Source organism: Homo sapiens, chromosome 2, assembly GCF_000001405.40.
Source record: "Homo sapiens chromosome 2, GRCh38.p14 Primary Assembly".
Taxonomy (NCBI): domain Eukaryota; kingdom Metazoa; phylum Chordata; class Mammalia; order Primates; family Hominidae; genus Homo; species Homo sapiens.
The window spans coordinates 64258484-64276790 of NC_000002.12; the positions used below are offsets into that span (position 1 = coordinate 64258484).

The 18307-nt window shown below is 42.9% G+C and overlaps 2 annotated features.

The window, feature by feature from the left end:
• Positions 2211–2390: an enhancer, noted in NCBI's record as "active region_15887". NCBI's record gives its function as "activates an Ori minimal core promoter by ATAC-STARR-seq in GM12878 lymphoblastoid cells {active_cell/tissue: GM12878}" and the evidence as "EXISTENCE:reporter gene assay evidence [ECO:0000049][PMID:35858748]".
• Positions 13637–14253: an enhancer, noted in NCBI's record as "H3K27ac-H3K4me1 hESC enhancer chr2:64499254-64499870 (GRCh37/hg19 assembly coordinates)". NCBI's record gives its function as "activates a minimal SCP1, AML or CMV promoter by ChIP-STARR-seq in primed H9 embryonic stem cells {active_cell/tissue: H9 hESC(primed)}" and the evidence as "EXISTENCE:reporter gene assay evidence [ECO:0000049][PMID:30033119]".

Sequence of the window (18307 nt, forward strand, 5' to 3'; positions counted from 1 at the left end):
TTAAATCATTAGCTTAAATGCCTCCTTTGTCATAAAAACATTGGTGATTCCTGCAGTTTTGTGCACTATTTGTGCTAGCTCTTGTGTAGCCTAACATTTCCGCCTGAATGTTTGCCATTTTGTTCTATTCTGTAACATTGTTTTTGACCTCTAATTTCATTTTGCAATGATCTCAGCACTGGGTTTATCTTTACAAATGAAATGGTGAGAAACGCTTTGCTGAATCTTCACAACTGGTTCAATCACATGGGACAGTGGAATCAGAGACATGAGGTTGCGGGAACCATTATGGGGTTAGAATGGATAAGGGAAAGAGAAAGAAAAAATAGCAGAAGCCATGACTTGCTCTTGTAGGTTTGCTTTGTATGACACTCTTTTTCTTCTGTCACTGCATCAGACAGATATGTTTAGATACACCATGTATTAATAAATGGTTTCCTCGGTAGGGTTAAAAAGCTCCGGTGCCTGAAATTCTACCTGAAATTCTGGTATCTGAAGTTCTGTATATTCCTTTAGGTTAAATATTGTTTTCTATCCATGGGCCTTTGTAAAGTAACTACCTCTGGGAGAAGTAACACATCAAATCTTTAACACTTTAGTATAAATGAGCATATGAGATTGATTCCTCTATTATCTGATCAGCAGGCTGGGAACCCTTGGTATGCAGTCATGGAGACACCTCTAAACTCAGCCTTGAATGTATATCTTTGCTTTAAGAAATTCCAACTCCTACTTGGAGGAAAACAACAGAAAAAGACCCCCTCTGTTGATGATAGGTCTGAAGGAACTTCTTATGTAAAGGATAGCCATATTTTAATTTTATTTCTTTCCCAAGAACAAGAACCTTCTCCTGACCTGCAACACAGCCCCTCACTTTGTCCATAGAGTGCTGGAGGCTTCGTGCTATCATTTGTGTCTCATTTTTATTCTATTCACATATGTCTAGGGAGTGGGTCCTTTGAGATTTCTTCTTGGCTCTGCTTCAGGCTCCATAATAGCAATGGATCCACATTTCTTAATACAGTGAGGGCAGGTGGCAGCAAGCCAAAGCTGCCTCCGGGTGTATGTGTGCAGGAGTGGTGTTTTCAGCATGCATTGAAAAATCAGGAGCCAGCCAGGACAAAAGCCCAGAGTGACAGTGTGGCCCTCAGAAGGATGCCTGCACCAAGTTAAAAAAAAAAAATCATTTTTTTCTATTGAATTCAGTTAAGATTCTGTGCCAGGTTTTGTTCCTAGGAGCATCGTGTATGGGTGCGTGTGTGTGCCCACGTGCACACGGCTAGTTGCTCACACAGCTGCTACCTGATAAATCACAGAGGCAGGTTGTAGAAGTTGAACCTGGAGAGTGTTCAGAAGGTGGCTGAGGGTGTGTTCACACAAGGCTATCAAGGGCAAATGAAGTGGCCCTGACCTTGTTAGTAATTTGTCTCCTCTCAAGGCTTTCAAATATATTTGTGTCATTATATACCCTCAGGACATTCATTAATTGCCTATCTGGATGATTCTGTTAATAACATGTATTTATTCCAAACACAAGTTGTTAATAGGAAATACTAAAACAAATGTGAATGTGGAATGTTTTTCGTTATTCTAGAGTATGGAACCACATATATAAATGTGGTACCACATGCATTCATACTCCATTTCACAAGCCATTGTCCCTCAGTACATGTAATAGTGTTTTCCTAGGAATGTGTGTCTAATTTAAATAGTTTTAAATAAAATCATACTTTTTTTTTTTTAGACAGGGTCTTGCTCTGTTGCCCCGGCTGGAGTGTACTGGTATGATCTTGATGCACTGCAACCTCTGCCTCTGGGGCTCAAGTGAGCCTCCCACCTCAGCCTCCCAAGTAGCTGTGACTACAGGTGTGTGCCACCATGCCCGGATAATTTTTATATTTTATGTAGAAACAAGGTTTTGCCATGTTGCCCAGGCTGGTCTTGAACTCCTGAGCTTAAGCCATCTGCCTGCCTCGGCCTCCCGAAGTGCTGGGATTACAGGAGTGAGCCCCTGCACCTGGGCAATAATCATACTTTAATCTCTCTAAAAATTTAGAGTTCCGGTTGCAAAACTTCCCTTTCTGCAAAGAATGAGTTAAGAATGAGAGGGTCATTGGCCGAGTCATTTTCCCTCTGTGGGCTTAGTAGTCTCATCTATAAAAGAGGGTGAGTGTAATGAAAGATTTCTAAGATCCCTTTTCAGCTTTATCATTCTGGGTTCTAAAAACTGTTTTGTAGTGTGAATAATCACTTCATAATGTGCCCATCATCTTTTAAAATCTGAGATTTTTACTCTTGGCTGCCTTAAGAGGGGTTCAACTGAATTGGGACTAGCAGGTTGTCTGAATTCGTTACTCATCTCCTTTATTCTTTTGGGATGAAGTGGAACAAGTGTTAAGTGATAAAGCTATAAAAGCACACACAGATCAACAGGAAGACAGAGACAGGAAGAGAAGTGGAGACGCGTCAGCATTTTCCCGAGACAGCTTGATCTCGGAAAGCAGAAGTGGAAGTCCCTGTTGTTGGCTCACAGCTTTAGCGCACTGACCTGTCGGTCACAAGCCTTTCCTGGAACCTGGTGGGTTTCAAATGCAAGTGGCTGTGCTGCGGGTGTCTGTGCAGGAGAGGAGTCTGTGAACTGTATGAGTTACAGGAGGTTAATCCACACGGTCAATGCTGGGGCAAGGCCCTCCCATCTTCACCCTGTGAAATTGTCCCCAAACCAAAACATTCATTGAATGAGTTTTTTCTTAGTATTTCTATTGTGGGAAATTAAAAGCCCTTTCCTTGCTGATGGTAAAAATTAGGTAATTTTGTGGCATCAGTGGCTTTCGGTAGTGTAAACCTACTCTTGGAGCAAAGGTCTATTGGCTAAGAATATTTATTAATATATTTTGAAGAGAATTGACACAGGATCAAAGGCTGTTTTATGTATAATCATTTCAAAAACCATAAACCTGTTATTAATTGTTTTAATAACTCTTATATCATCAATAAACATACCTTGGCTATATTTTACCTACATAATTTTGGCTGAATTGATGGGAGTAAATACTACAAAGGTACAGTCTAACCTGGAGTGGGATATACTCCTGAAAATACTGTCAAATTTCAGCGTTCTCTAGATACCTCATTATTTATCAAAAGTTAATAATTAGGGATCTAAAGCCACCATATGATATTGTCACAAAAGTGGTAACTAAACCCCACATCCAGTAACAAGATAATTAAAACCTAAATCTGAATATGGGAGAAAATAGAGTTTAAAGGGAAGTGTGTAGAAGAGGTGCTAGGAAGTTACTGAAGGCAAATTCCACTTGCTCAACAATTCTCCTGTGGACCACGGTGGTAGCCATCAGAGTGGGACTGGAAAGACATGGCACACCATATAAATGTTAGCAGGGCGCTTTGTAAATTGAATATATTTAGTGTCTATTGAACGTTTAGTCTGAGGGTCCATTTCTACCTGCCTGCCTTGAGGTCTTGTTCTCAGTGCTGCTCAGTCGTGACACATGACAGAGGTGTGGCTGAGATCAGCTAGGACCCCAGCTAACTCTCCTGCTTTTCCCAGCTGCACTCTCAGTAGACCTTCTTTTCTAGTCTCCCAGGCTTAATTGAAGCTGTTGTTTTGCTCTTGGATCCATTCTTCCTTCAAATCTATGAAAAAACTACTCGAAAGAAGATTGTGAGCTCTTGCTGCTCCTGATCCCTGAGCAGGAAAGGTGACTCTAATATGATTAATGAGCTCAGCTGGACTTTGCCCCCTGACCTAAGTGATGATGTGGGCTCCCGAGAACATTTAGAGGAGGAGCAGGAAGAGCTCCAGCATGCTGTGATGTCAGATGCCCTCCTGGAAAGGTCTGGGCCTGGAAGAGGCACTCTATCCCAGCAGGATCCCCTGTCAGAGTGTGACAGAAACATGCGGAAGGGGACAGCTACCCACCCACTCACCAATAATAATTCCACCCCTCTGCTAGCTATATGTGCCCTCTGATTCAAGGATGTTCCTGTTAAACATGGTAGCACCTAAATTAATGGGGAAAATGGCTTGAATGGGATACAGAAAGGAGCTTAGCCAAGAGGGAGAACCAGGCGGGAAGGAGATGGCCTGAACTGCAACCAGCCGCAGTTCTCAAGCTCAGAAGGGCTGTCATCACCACCCAAACCATGCTGAGATTAGATGGTGGCTGTGACCTTCTTGGTAAACTGTGTAGTGTTTATTGTATGGATTCAGTTCTTCTCAGTAAGCTTTTCTTTCTTTTAAGAAACATCCCTTCTTGGAGAGGAGAGGTCTTTGAACTGAGTGGGCACTTGACGCTTGTATTGGCTGTGCCTGGAGATGGTGGCTTGTCTGGGATGAAGGGCTTGAGCAGGGGCTGGATCTAGCCTGCTTGGCTTGCTGAGCTGCACCTGGCTCAGGACTGGGTCAGCTATGGGAAGGAGCATCTTTGCGGAACTGGTCTGCCTTCTAGTTTGCAGAAAGGCCTCTTAAGGTGCTAGTGGTATGTGACCACCATCCCAGGAGGGTCCAGGAGCAATGTGCAGTGCATCCTGGTACCAGCAAGGTAGCTCATGCACATACCTGAATGGAGCCCGTTCCTGTTTTAGGTTGCTGCTTACCACTCTTGTACCTAAAGAGAAACAAAACCGTGGCCTTCAAGAATTGGGTGAATGACTGTGCTGACCTACTCTGCTCTTGATGAGACCTGAGACTCCCTCCAGCATGGACTTAGGGAATAAACCCTCTACCCAGAGACAACTCAGAAGACCTGAGTTTTTGCTCTGACTCCATCTCCAAGAGCAGTTTTATCTAGGGTGAGCCTTTTAACCCAAACTTTAGAACCTTCATTTCCTTACCTGTAAATGGGGATGAAAATTTTCACATTCAGGGATCGTCCTGAGGATTAAACAAAAGAACGCTCTGGCGAACATTTCTGTGAGCTGTAATATCCTGAACAAATGCAAATGTTAGAAGCGATTATTACTTCCTATGCATGCTTAGCCTCTGATTCACCTCGGGATGGGAAACCAGATGTTCTTGTTTTCTTTGTGCAGTGGCTACTTCAAAGTCTTGCTAAGTCTACTTAATAATGCTGGTGTGGAGTGAGCCCCAGCATTCTGGAAACAAGGCTGCACCGTGCTCTCTGTTGCTATTTTGTTGTGAGAGACTTCTTTAGAGATAAATAACACTACTCATGGGGACTTCAGAGAGAATATCTATGTGCTATAAAAAAAAGTTTTACTTTGTGAAGTTCAATATAATATCTTTGTGAAATTTATGAATAAGACTAAACATTTGGGTGAGACTGAGACAAATGGCAATCTCCTGGGTTGTGTGTTTTTGACCCCACAAGTGCTGCCATCTTTAGCACTCTCAAACTCCTTTCAGACCAACCTCTCTTTTGAGTCTTTCTCCACGTCCTAATAACCCTCTCGATTTTATTAAAATACTCCATAGGTAGGTCTGAAACTTGGGTGATGGGCAGGTGAAGTATAGATAGCTATTAAGCTTAAGAAATTCCCCAACCCCAAAATACCTCTAAAGTATTCCATTGCTAATGACCAAAATTCTGTTATTAGCCATTAATTCCTTTAGATTAAGAAAATTATCTCCCTATTAAAATTTAAGTCATCCCTGGAGGAGTAACTTTTAAAAGTGCTATACTTTCATGTGAAGGGCTTTATTCAGGGGATGGGGAACTTTTTCTGTTAAGGATCAGAAAGTAAATATTTTAGGCATATGGTCCATAAAGTTTCTGTTGCGACTGCTCAGCCCTGTCTTTGTAGGATGAAAGGCAGCCACAGATGGTACACAGACAAATAAGCATGGCTGTGTTTCTATAAAATTTTATTTAAAACAGCAGGAGGTGGGCTGCTTGTGGCCCCTTGACTCAACTGAATCCTCTCAAAGTGGGCAACCAGCTGAGAGCCAGACAAGGAGGAGGAGAGAAGGAGCATCTTGCATCTAGTGTACCAGAAGGGGAAGTGACCAGTAGGGTGTGAAGATGTGGAGCAAAGAGCCACGGTGGACCCTCAAAGCCAAGTTTCATAAGAGCTAGTCCTGTTTAGCCATTTAGGCATTTTTTGATGAGTGGAGAATATTTGACTCAATATGTTTACTACATATATTTCTACACTTTTTTATTTCATGGTGGTGAGGTGACACTTTTTTTCATTCATTTTCATTTGATTTAGTGTATCATTCTTATTTAGTATATCAATTACGTAGTTACAGGAAAAGGCAGCTGCCATTCTACCATCTAGCATCTTACAGTACTACTCATATTGTAGAAGTTGCTAAACATTAAAGGGAAATACTTTTGAATACAAGTAAATTTCAGGCTGTATTATGCTCTCCCCTTCCTCTGTTTGTTTGAACACTCTTTGACAGTTGAATTACATTGCAGACGGTCTGTGAAGTGAATGGTGGTCTGATTTCCTAGGATCAGTGCATAAAAGAAGCTTTTTCTTTTTTGTCCAGACAGCATTTTATTTCAGGATCAATGGTGGCTGATGCATGGTGCTTATTCTTAGTCGTGACATGTTCTTGAAGTAAAAAGAGAATTATTTGTAAGCCTTTGAAGGCCCATTCAGGTGTTGGGCACGCGCTGCAGAGCTGGGCTGTGGACCCAGCCCATGGAGGGAGTGAGCATGCATGGTGTCTCAGGAGCGGGGTAGATTTGAGCTAAGACCTTACTTTCTCTCACCCAGACCCTCCTGTGGCAGTCAGCGCAACATGGAAGACAATAAGTTTGGAATTAGGAATGAAGCCTGCAGCTGCAGGCCAGGCAAGCTGGAATCATAACTACAGCCCAAGAAAATGAAAACTGACCACTAGGGTGGGGAGAGGAAGGGCAGTGGGCTTGTTGAATTGATGCTTTCCTTTTTCTCTGAGACATGCTGGCTTCTTTCCCCCTTTGGGAATAGGCTCAATGTCTTGGAGACAGTCTAATTACTTTTTATACATTCATAAAGAAGTTTATTTTTGGTAAAGACACTCAAACTAGAATATACTTGATTGGTTTACACTGAAAAAGTAATTTGGGACTCATCACTCAAATTGCATTAAAAATGCTGAAATGCATTCCAGTCATTATCTAGTCTAGCCTACTTCTTACTGTATCAGAGAGATGGAATAACATCCAAATTACTAGTCCTGCATATATTTTATGTTCCTAAATCTGAACTAGTAAGAGAAAAACTCTCCTTGTTAAAGGGAATGTTAACATTCACTAGGAGGTTTGTACATGGACTCCTCCCCTCCATCTGCAGAGTATTGTCGAGGATCTGAATACAGAAAGGACATAACACCCTTGTCATCTGTGCTAGGCATAGCCAGACCTAGAGGAAAGGGCAGTATTGCATCTGCATCAGTAAGGGGGCTACCAGGGAAGCAGAGGGAAGCGGAACATAGGGAAGCAGAACCAGCAGGACACACACACACACACCCCCACCCAAGTCAGTTCTTGCTATTCGTGATAGCAGTGTTCTATAAAGCTGTCACAAACATTGAAATAGCAAATGCTGAACCATTGCTCCTAGGGGATCTACAGGGTTAGGTTCCTATGAACCTCTGGTCACAACATTTTCATCAACTGATCAAGATATTACCTTGTTTTATGTGTGTTTCTGTTTAAAGACACCTTATTTAATATATACTGTTGATGCATTAACATTGAACTCATGGCCAAAACATTACCACCCATGCCTGAATGAAGCTTATCTAACACACGTATTTTCCCTGTGAGGCACATCACAGTCTTCTGGTGCTTAGAAACACCAGACAACACCTCAGCACTACACTCAAGGGTCATTTTAAACAATGAAATCACCAACAAAAAGCACAAGAATGTGAAAATCATGGCACTAAATGAACTGTGAGAAGGACAGTTGTTTACAGTATGAGAGCTGAAACATGAAAGTGCTGCCTCAATTGACTTCAGCTGAAAAATTTGTGCATTGGGTGACTTAAACTTTTCACTGCTTTGAGCATGTCTGTGATTGATTGCGGAAGCACTGCAAGTATTGGTTTTGGGGTTACAAATGAATTTTAGAAAGTAGGCAAATTTCCAAATACATAATCCATCGATAATGAGGATCAACTCTACATTACAAAAGTTTTTCAAGAATTGGCTTGTGTGATTGTGGGGACTGACAAGTCTGAAATCTATAGGTCAGGCCCGAGGGCTGGAAACTCTCCCACAGGAGCTGGAGCTGCAATTGACAGGTGGATTTCTTCTCCTTGGAGAAACCTCAGTTTTTCTCTGAAAACTTTCAACTGATTACATGAGGCCCATAGAAATGATCAAGAATAATTCCTTTACTCAAAGTCAGCTGATTGTGGATGTTGATCACATCTACAAAATGCCTTCGCAGCAATACCTAGACTAGTGTTTATTGAACAACTGGGTACTATAGTCTAGCTCATTTGACACATAAAACTAACCATCACAGTACCCAATTTAGAGCTCCTGGAAAGCAGCCGCGGAAGAAATCTTCCCTCTATATTTTCCTAGATTACTATGAGAGAGCAGTAGCCCCTCAACCCTGTCTGCTGGCCTGGGTCACAGTGTTTGTTCAGCATACTCTGAGGCTCACTCTGTAGAGGGACCTTACTCAAAGCACTGACCATAGTGTGGGTGATGAGAGATCCTTTTTTTCAAAGCATTAAAAAGGGGTAGAGACTTAAGCCTCTTCCCTGGACTCACCAAATATGACCTTTCTTTTGCCCATTGTTTTGGGCTGTTTTTTGCTGTGAGTCTCTTCCAGTAGCCAGTTGCTCAGCTTCTGCCCTGGAATTAACAAGAGGACTTTGACTGCTCCCCTGATCAGTGGGGGCTGATGTGTCTTCTCAGCAGTGTTATTGGGCAGTAGCAGTCTTATTGCCCAGGCTGTAGAGTACAAGGCTTTCTCCTTCCTCTTGGGACCATGATGTTTAGGAGAAAAAGAAGGAGACACCTTAACCTATACTCTATCCCCTTGATATTCAAAGTGTGGTGTATAAGCCAGCAGCAGCAGCATGACCTAAGAATGTGTTAGAGATGTAGAGCCCCAGACCAACTGAATTAGAATCTGCATTTTCTGTGAGACTCATATTCACACAAAAGTTTGAAAACATACTCTAGGTAGCTATCTGGAGACTTCTGGTCCTTTAGCCCTCATTGTTTAGGTCCTGAGCCCTGACCCATTTTTCCACCTATTTTGAATTGGATATCCCAGAATAACCCTGCTCCCCCTGGCACGGGTGGATGAACACCCCATCCTGCTTCTTGCAACTGGCAGCCCTTGAATATCCCTACCTGCCAGAGTGGCCTGCATTTTTCCTTCCCTTGTTTGGGCATGACATCCTATATCCAGGCCCTCCCCAGGAACACTACTTCTGCCCCATCCCACTCTGTGTTCCTGCCAGCCCTCCACCCCCTAGAATTCCTTTTGGATTCTGCATGCCAGAATATGTAGGGAAGAGTGCCTGGAATTTCCTCCTCAGAACTGACTTAAATGGATTCAAACACTGGTGAGCACAGTTCAGAGAGGAAGTAGGATTAGCTGAGAGATTCAAGGAACAAGGGGTCAGTTTCTGAGTATCCCACTTCTGAGGTGAACATAAGACTCCATTTAAGCTTCCACTGCCTCAATTCTAAGTTGATGGGAAAGCTACCTTTGAACATTTCTGTGAAACTCATTAAACTAGTTTGAAATCTTAAAGGCTCTCCATACATTTGCTTTTGAGGCCAGTTTAACAAGGAATCCATGGCCAGCAAAGAGTTATGCTGCTGACTTTACTAGAACTCTAATGGTCCCTTTTGTTTTTATTAAACGTGGAATCCATTAACCTGTCATTATGGGATATCCCCATGCTATGGAGGCAAATGGTTAATTGAGTGGCACACCTTTAATAGTATAGTCTGTAATTATAAAAGCTATTTTTAAAACCCCACATATGAACATTACCAAAGAAGGAGGAATTCTCACCATGAAAACCAGCTTTCGGCTTGGACAGCAATTACTCGTATTTCCTTTCCCTGGCATCAGGAAGACAGGAGTAGACAATGGATTGGTTCCAAAAATAATCTCAAGCTTTTCCCACTTACAGTATGTCAATTGCCAGGCTTGTCTCCCATGTCTCCAGAAGTGGAAAAACATATACATAGTCACAAACTGCACAATCAACTCCAGCCTGCAATTTGCTGAGGGTCATTTTCTTGACTGGTCTGAATTACCACGTGGTTAATTTGATTGTCATTGCATCCAGCTGGACTAAGTGCAGGTCGATAGATGTGCGAGGTTACTTGAGCAGAGCAAATTAATTATACAAGTGAATTAACTTAAACATGCTTGGAACACCCTGAGCTACTGTACTACTCCAGGGGCGCCATTGGTGTCCTTGTAAGTGGAGTTCGTGTGCAGTTCACAACCCGTAGATAGCAGCCTGGGAGCGCTCTTTCCTTGACTATGTGTGGTTGATGACTTGCCATCAGTCTGTTTCAGCCTAAGTATTACCTCCTCAAAAAGGCATCCTTGACCATTTCATCCTCACTCCCCAGTCATTAGGTTTATTTTTCCCATGGTACTTACAGTCTGAAATGATCTTGTTTAGTCTCTGCCTCTCTACACCCAACTGGAAGTTTCTGGAGGGGAGGGATGCTGGCTATCTTGTTAGGAACCTATTTGACACACAGTAAGTACTTAATAGGTATTTGTTGAATGGGCAAATTAGATACTTGGTATGTGCTTTTGAAATCCCTAAGAAGTGGCAAATTACATTAGAAATATTTTATCCTATCACCAAAATGCTAAGGTAAATTTTCTTCTGGAAATTTTTACTATGCTTATATAGTTTTATTTCTGTCCCATGTTTTACTTTGTCTTATCTTGTCTTCTCCCTACCTCCTGTGATCTTGATTAAGGTACAGATAATGACCTTAAACATCCTTAAAATAACAGAACCAACTGGTATTTGAGTACCTACTGGATATCATGATGAAAACCATGGGCCTTACATGAATGATGAGCTAAGACATAAACATGAAACACTGACAATTTTAAATTATTCAAGCTATCTCTGTGTTCTTCGGGGTTGAGGTGGAAGAGGACTGTCTTTCTTGACTTTCCATTCTTTGCTCAACATGCTTAAAATAAAAAAGACATACCTTTAAAATATATCTTTTTTAGTACAATAAAAATGTTAACACCAATTTGCAGAAAGAAGAGCTGTCACAAGGAAATACATGAATAGCTGCCAAATTAATTGTACATTTGACCCTTGAACTACATGGGTTTGCACTTCAAGGTCCACTTAAATGCAGATTTTCTTCTGCCTCTTAAGCTCCTGAGACAGCAAGCCCAACCCCTCCTCTTCCTCCTCCTCAGGCTATAAAGATATGAAGACAATGAGAATAAAGACTTTTATGAGGATACACTTTCACTTAATGAATAGTAAATATATTTTCTCTTCCTTATGATTTTCTTAATAACGTTTTCTTTTCTATAGCTTGCTTTATTGTAAGAATACAGTAGATAATACATATAACATAAAATAGATATTAATTGATTGTTTATGTTATTGGTAAGGCTTCCAGTCAACAGTAGACTATAAGTAGTTAAGTTCTGGGGGACTCCAAAGTTATATGTAGATTTTAGACTGCAAGGGAGTTTGGTATCCCTAACCCCATGTTATTTAAGGGTCAACTGTACAACCATGCCTCCTACAGAGGCTTGTGAGTTTATTTAGCCTGAGATAGAGATTTTATGAAGGTTGGCACTGAGTCTCAGGATCTAAAAGGGTATATAGTCGAATTGGCTATTTGAACCTAAACTGTTTCCACCAATGGGATTAGAATATTTCTGAGCACATCTGACGAGCCAGCTGGGCTATCAGATGTCCATTTGCATAAGTCAATTGTCAAGAGTTCTCTATGGCACAGGGACAGTAGAATGGAAAGGAAAGTATGGGGCCTGTTGAGGCCCCTGCCAGTCAAGGGCCTCTGATCTGAGCCTATGGAAGAGGATAGATGCCAAAGGAGTGGCTTTCAGGAAGGATCTTAGTTACAGGGCTGTGAGTGGTGTTTCTTGGCATCCCTAGCACCTGCGCCTTGAGGACTCCAGGGGCTACAATGCTGGCACCTTAAGGGTGCAGCCTTGGGGTCATCAGGAAAGAGGACATTATGATATTCATGGAAGGCTTGAGCAGGAGTGGCTGCCTCAGCTGGAAGCATAACAGGGGGAGGAGGGTAAGAGTGGCTGAAACAGGAGAGGAAGAACATGGCAGGAGACACATTTGTGGGGTATTGTGAGGACACATCAAACATCCCCCAGGGTGAAATTTCTGGCTATGACTTTGAGGGGCCCAGAGGTTCTGCATCACTCAGGTGTGGCCAGATGCAATGGGGGGAGCTGCTATTGCTGTGATTCATAGGTCAGTGGAGCTAGGCAAACTCAGATTATAGAATCGGTATGGAGATATTTGAAGAGAAGAGTTGGTCACATAACATGGTGGAAAGATGTGAGCAAAAGGTTGGCAGTAAGAACATGCATATGGCATTCCAGAGACAGGGTCTTGTTGAGGGTGATGGGACATCAAGCTGTAAAGATGGACTGTAGCCAGAAGCAGAAGGCCCTTGCTATCATCTGAATGTTTGTGTCCCCCTAGGATTCATATATTGAAATCCTAACCCCCAAGGCAATGGTATTAGGAAATGGGGCCTTTAGGGAAGTGATTAGGTCACAAGGGTGGAGCCCTCATGAATGGGATTAGTGCCCTCATAAAACAGACCCAAAGAAGCTCCTTGGCCCCTTTCACCATGTGAGATTACAACTAGAAGATGAATCCTCACCAGACACAGGATTTACCTTCATGTTGGACTTCCCAGCCTCTAGAACTATGAAAAATAAATTCCCATTGTTTATAAGCTACCTAGTTTCTGGAATTTTGTTATAGCAGCCTGAACTGACCAAGACAGCCCAGAATGGCCAAGGTGAGGAGGTTGCCACTGGAGGCTGATCAGAGGAGAATGATGCAGGGAAAGCAAGAGTCAGGGAATTTACCTGGACCAGGTGTTTAGCAGTAGTTTTGAAATTTGCTTTAGCAGTAGAAACATTTGGTCAAATGAAATCTAATGAAGACACTGCACAGGTATGAAGTAGATCAGACAGGAGTGGTAGAAGGAAGTGTAAAGCAGTGGATAAAGATGGGGCTGGGTGCAGTGGCTTACACCTGTAATCCCAGCACTTTGGGAGGCCGAGGTGGGTGGATCACAAGGTCAGGAGATGGAGACCATCCTGGCCAACATAGTGAAATCCCGTCTCTACTAAAAATACAAAAATTAGCTGGGCATGGTGGCATGTGCCTGTAATCCCAGCTACTTGGGAGGCTGAGGCAGGAGAATCACTTGAACCAGGGAGTCGGAGGTTGCAGTGAGCCGAAATGACACCACTGCACTCCAGCCTGGTGACAGAGTGAGACTCTGCCTCAAAAAAAAAAAAAAAAAAAGATGGGGCCCAGGGTTCAGGGTGATGCCCCACTGGTTGCTTTGCAGTGGTGGGATGGTCTGTAAGTTTAAACTTTTTTCAAACCTGTTTTTTTTCTAATTTACTATAACAAATTGTTATTTATTTTGTGATTTAAAAATCCAAAGCTATTTTTAAAACTAAAACAATCCATTGCTTCGTTTTTAGAATCAGTTCATAGGCTGTTCTCAGAAAAACTTGTCACATTCTTACTCTGGACCTCACATTTCTTTCCAGCACATCTTGCATGCTCTTTAGTAATTGTAGTTCAATTCACAGACGCACCCCCTGCCCCATGTTACCTCCCTAATCAGTCTGTAAACTGACTAAGGTCAGCTTGTCTTACTCCATGGCTCCTTCCTATTCATTAATAGGTATTCAATTAATGCCTGCTAGCTGAGGAAAGATCCCTCTGCTGAACTGGGGGGAAGCAGGGTTAGGAAACTTGTAGGTAGCCATTAAAACCCTGTTTGGAATGTGGCCTACACCTTGGGAACTTTTGCGTGTATCTGTTGACTTGTTTTTTTGTTGTTGTTTTTGGAGACAGAGTCTCGCTCTGTCGCCCAGGCTGGAGTGCAGTGGCGCGATCTTGGCTCACTGCAACCTCTACCTCCCAGGTGCAAGCAATTCTCCTGCCTCAGCTTCCTGAGTAGCTGGGACTACAGGCACATGCCACCACGCCCGGCTAATGTTTTTGTATTTTTAGTAGAGACGGGGTTTCACTGTGTTGCCCAGGCTGGTTTCAAACTTCTGAGCTCAGGCAATCCGCCCACCTCGGCCTCCCAAGGTGCTAGGATTACAGACGTGAGCCACCGAGCCCGGCCGACTTGTTTTTAAATCAATTACCAAATTCCCACTGCTATCTAAAATGACACAGCCACTGCTATCTATTGGGTCCTAGCCCAAAAGACTGTACCCAAGAGACTCTGCCACTCACACAGGAGAATGTAATCTTTAACTAATTAGGTTAGGATGCACAAAAAAGTGTGGGAGGCTGGACGCTAATATAGCTTAGACTTGAGGAAATGCCAGGGTGATGGGTAACTTGCTCCATGTGTTACTTGCAGGCTTCAGACCTGCCAGATGTGCATCTCATAGGCATTTCAAATCACACCATCACCTGCCCCTGCAAAGCTGTTTTGCTCTCTTACCCTCTCTCCTGCCCTGCTGTCTCTCTCTCTCTCTCTCTCTCTCTCTCACACACACACACCCCTTAGTGTTGTGCTTTCTTTTGTTAACTCTTTTAATCAGACTTTGATTTTCTAGATCTGTATGTTTCAATTAAATCCTAGTCTCTTTTGGACATTGAACTTGCAGAAGTTTTTTCCTGTATCTTCAGTTCTTGGTTCTTCTGATAAGTGCCTAAGGAGAAACAAATAAACAAACATGAACAAAGAGATAAACAGCAAAAACCACTCCCGGAGGCCTTCACATGGAACCCATTCATTATGTAACAACAAAAGGCCCCAAACAACTGCAGACCAGCATGACATATCGATGACTTATTCTTTTTAATATTAATGACAGTCTGAAGGAAGTTGTGGTGACAAGTCAGGGATTAATACTGCTATCTCTTTATGAATATCTGATCTATTAACACCACTGGGCTTAATGGGATTCATGAGTCTCAGTCACTGTCATGTCATTGCCCATATTGTGCAATCAGAGATCAGTTTTGCAATGGCTGATAAAAACAAAGGCCCAGAACCAAGGAGTTCCAGCAGAGAGGAAGGAAATGAAGCTTCCTGCTGGCTGAAGCTGCTCACCCAAAAGAAAGGGAATTAGATAAAGTGAAAGGTATTTCTCAGAGATGGGCCCAAAGCTGCTTCTGTTTCCTTGTGGCCTCAGGCTGGCTCTAGCTAGTAGGACACCATGACCCAGAGTAACTAAAGGGAATTATTGGCATCCTCCCACGAGCTCCTACCAGGCCAGTGCCAGAAACACTCATCTACTCCCTTATGGAAGATCACTGAGTCATGAGATCTGTGGTTTGTCTGATTCTCCACTTCCCGAAGCCAGCCAAGGCTAACCGACCTGGGATTCTGAGAGACTGTCCAGGTGAGCTCGGGTGCTTCAGTAGCAACTGGCCTTCTGGGTGTGCCCCAGAGCAATTCTGAGTCCAGAGATCGTTTCTGGCACCACCCTCAGCTCTCTCAGGGTTCTGGGAACCCAGTGATCAGAGGCTGGCTGGCTGTGAGATGTTCTTTCTCTTACCCTGTGGTGGGCTCCACATTGCAGTCACTTCATGCCTGCTGCTAAAAACCTAGGCCAGGCTTATTACCTTTCATCCAGACCAGAACTGAAAGCAGTTTCCATCTCCTGGGCCAATTCCAACTAATTGGTAGTGGCTGCCCGAGCACTGTGTAGAGAAAGATTTTGAGTTCAGCAGCAGAGTGTGGTTGTCCATTGGTGACGATTGCCAGAGGCACAGGTGGGTCACTGCAACTTGCATTCTGTGTGTTTACTAATTCTGATCTGGACCATTACATCAGCCTGCTAAGTGGTGCACTTACCTCTATTTCCTTCCAGAAAAAAAGATTAATCTTCCAGAAGCATTCTTTGATAAGAGCCTTATCAAAAAAAATTTCAACTCCACTCCACTTTAGCAACTCAGACCTGTTCTACATTTGTGATCAATCCTTCTCTCTCTCTCTAGCATATATATACACACATATGTAATTATATATACACATACAATTCTATATAATTATATATGTATGTATATGTATACATGTGTGTGTCTTCTGTGACTCTTGCCAGCAACCTCAACCCACTTTCCCCTTCCTTTTGCTATGTCAGTCTTGCAAACCTTTCTCTGTGAATCAGTTTTCTCTGTGAATCATTTTCCCTCTTTCTTCCTACTCAAGGACTCCTGAAGGAGGCTAGAGGAATACACACTCTTGTGGTTTGGGTTCTACACAACCTGGGGCCTCTGACCTCGGCTGGGTTCTTAGCACAGTGACCCCTCACAGGCCCCTGGTCAGCATCCTTTCCTCCTGTTCTGTTTCTCTCTCATCTTAAACCCTCACTGCTGTGTTGCTGTCCCCTCCCCAACCATGACCACCTTTCTCTTGGCAGACCACCAAGGCTCCTGTCTTAGTCATAGTCTATATTTTATCATAGAATTATAGAATTCTGTAGTCATGCAGGTGCATGGCTACACCATGCCTGGCTAATTTTATGTAGTTTTAGTAGAGATGGGGTTTTGCCATGTTGGCAAATTCTATAATTCTATAATAAATTGTAGAATTTATTCTATAATAATAATTTATATTTATTAATTAAATATTTATAATAATTATAATTCTATAATAAATTCTATAATTTATTATAGAATTATGGTGTTCTATAATAAAACACCATAGACTGGGTAGCTTAAAAACAGACATTTATTTCTCACAGTTCTGGAAGCTGGGAAGTTCAAGATCAAGGTGCCAGCAGATTTGATTCCTAGTGAGGACCCATTCCTGCTTGCAGATGGCCTTCTTCTCACTGTGTCCTCACCTGGCAGAGCAAGAGAGGGCTCTGGTTTCTTCTTCTTATAAGGGCACCAATCTCCTTATGAGGGCTCCACCCTGATGACCTCCCAAAGGCTCCACCTTGCAATGTCTCACACTGTGGATTAATTAAGGCTTCAGCATAAGAATTTTGGTAGTTGGGCTGGTGTTCACAAACATTCAATCTATAGCAGCTTCTATTTCACAAACTCCCTGAATTCTCATCCTCAGAGCTGCAGGCTCTTCTGCAGCCACCTCACCTTCCAAGCCCTCTCCTGTATTTTCAAAGAAAAGCTGAATTCTCACCAGCCCAGAGCCCTCACTGGTGCTCTAGCTCCAGTCTCTCATGAGCCTTTGCTGTCTCCATTATTCCTTTTTTCTTCTTCTCTGCATTTCTGGACCCTCCCTTGCAGTATGGGAACATGGTCAGTAATCTTCCTTTAAAATAAAATGCTCTCTTCTCCTTCACAGCTGAGCTCCTGCAGTTGATTCCCTCATGACCCCGTCCACTTACCTGCCTTCTCTGTCCATTTTGCAACAGGCAATATCACTTTTCCTAGCTTTCTTAACACCAGGCCTTCTGGATTCTCCTCTTTGCCCTTTGATTAGTCCTCTTCTACCTCTATCCTTTATTTTAAAATTTTTTTTGAGATGGAGTCTTGCTCTGTTGCCCAGGCTGGAGTTCAATGATGCAATCTCAACTCACTGCAGCCTCCATCTCCCAGGTTCAAGTGTTCCTCCTGCCTCAGCCTCCTGAGTAGCTGTGGCTACAGGCGCATGGCTACACCATGCCTGGCTAATTTTATGTAGTTTCAGTAGAGATGGGGTTTTGCCATGTTGGCCAGGCTGGTCTCAAACTCCTGACCTCAGATGATCCGCCTGCCTCAGCTTCCCAAAGTGCTGGGATTACAGGCATGAGCCACTGCGCCTGGCCAACCTCTATCCGTTAAATGATGGAGTGGCCTAGAGATTTGAAACTGGATCTATTCCAATGCCAAAGGCTGATTCCGTAAACATGTTGGTATGCCCCAGTCCTTTCCAAGCTGTTTCCTTGTGAGGCGTGAAGGTAGGCTCTGGAAGGTGGGCTGCTGGCACACCTGGGGATGAGGAGGATAGAGAAACAAAATGATTACCAACAGGGGGAAAAGTATGAAAAACATTCACATTCCACAGATTCCTCATCTGCTCTGCTGCTCCTGTGGCATCCCCCTTTAGCCCTGTCTAAAGAATGCAAAAAATGTAAATTTCCTGTTTGAATAAGATGTCTGTATTTTAACTGCAAGTATTGTCATGAAGAGGGCACC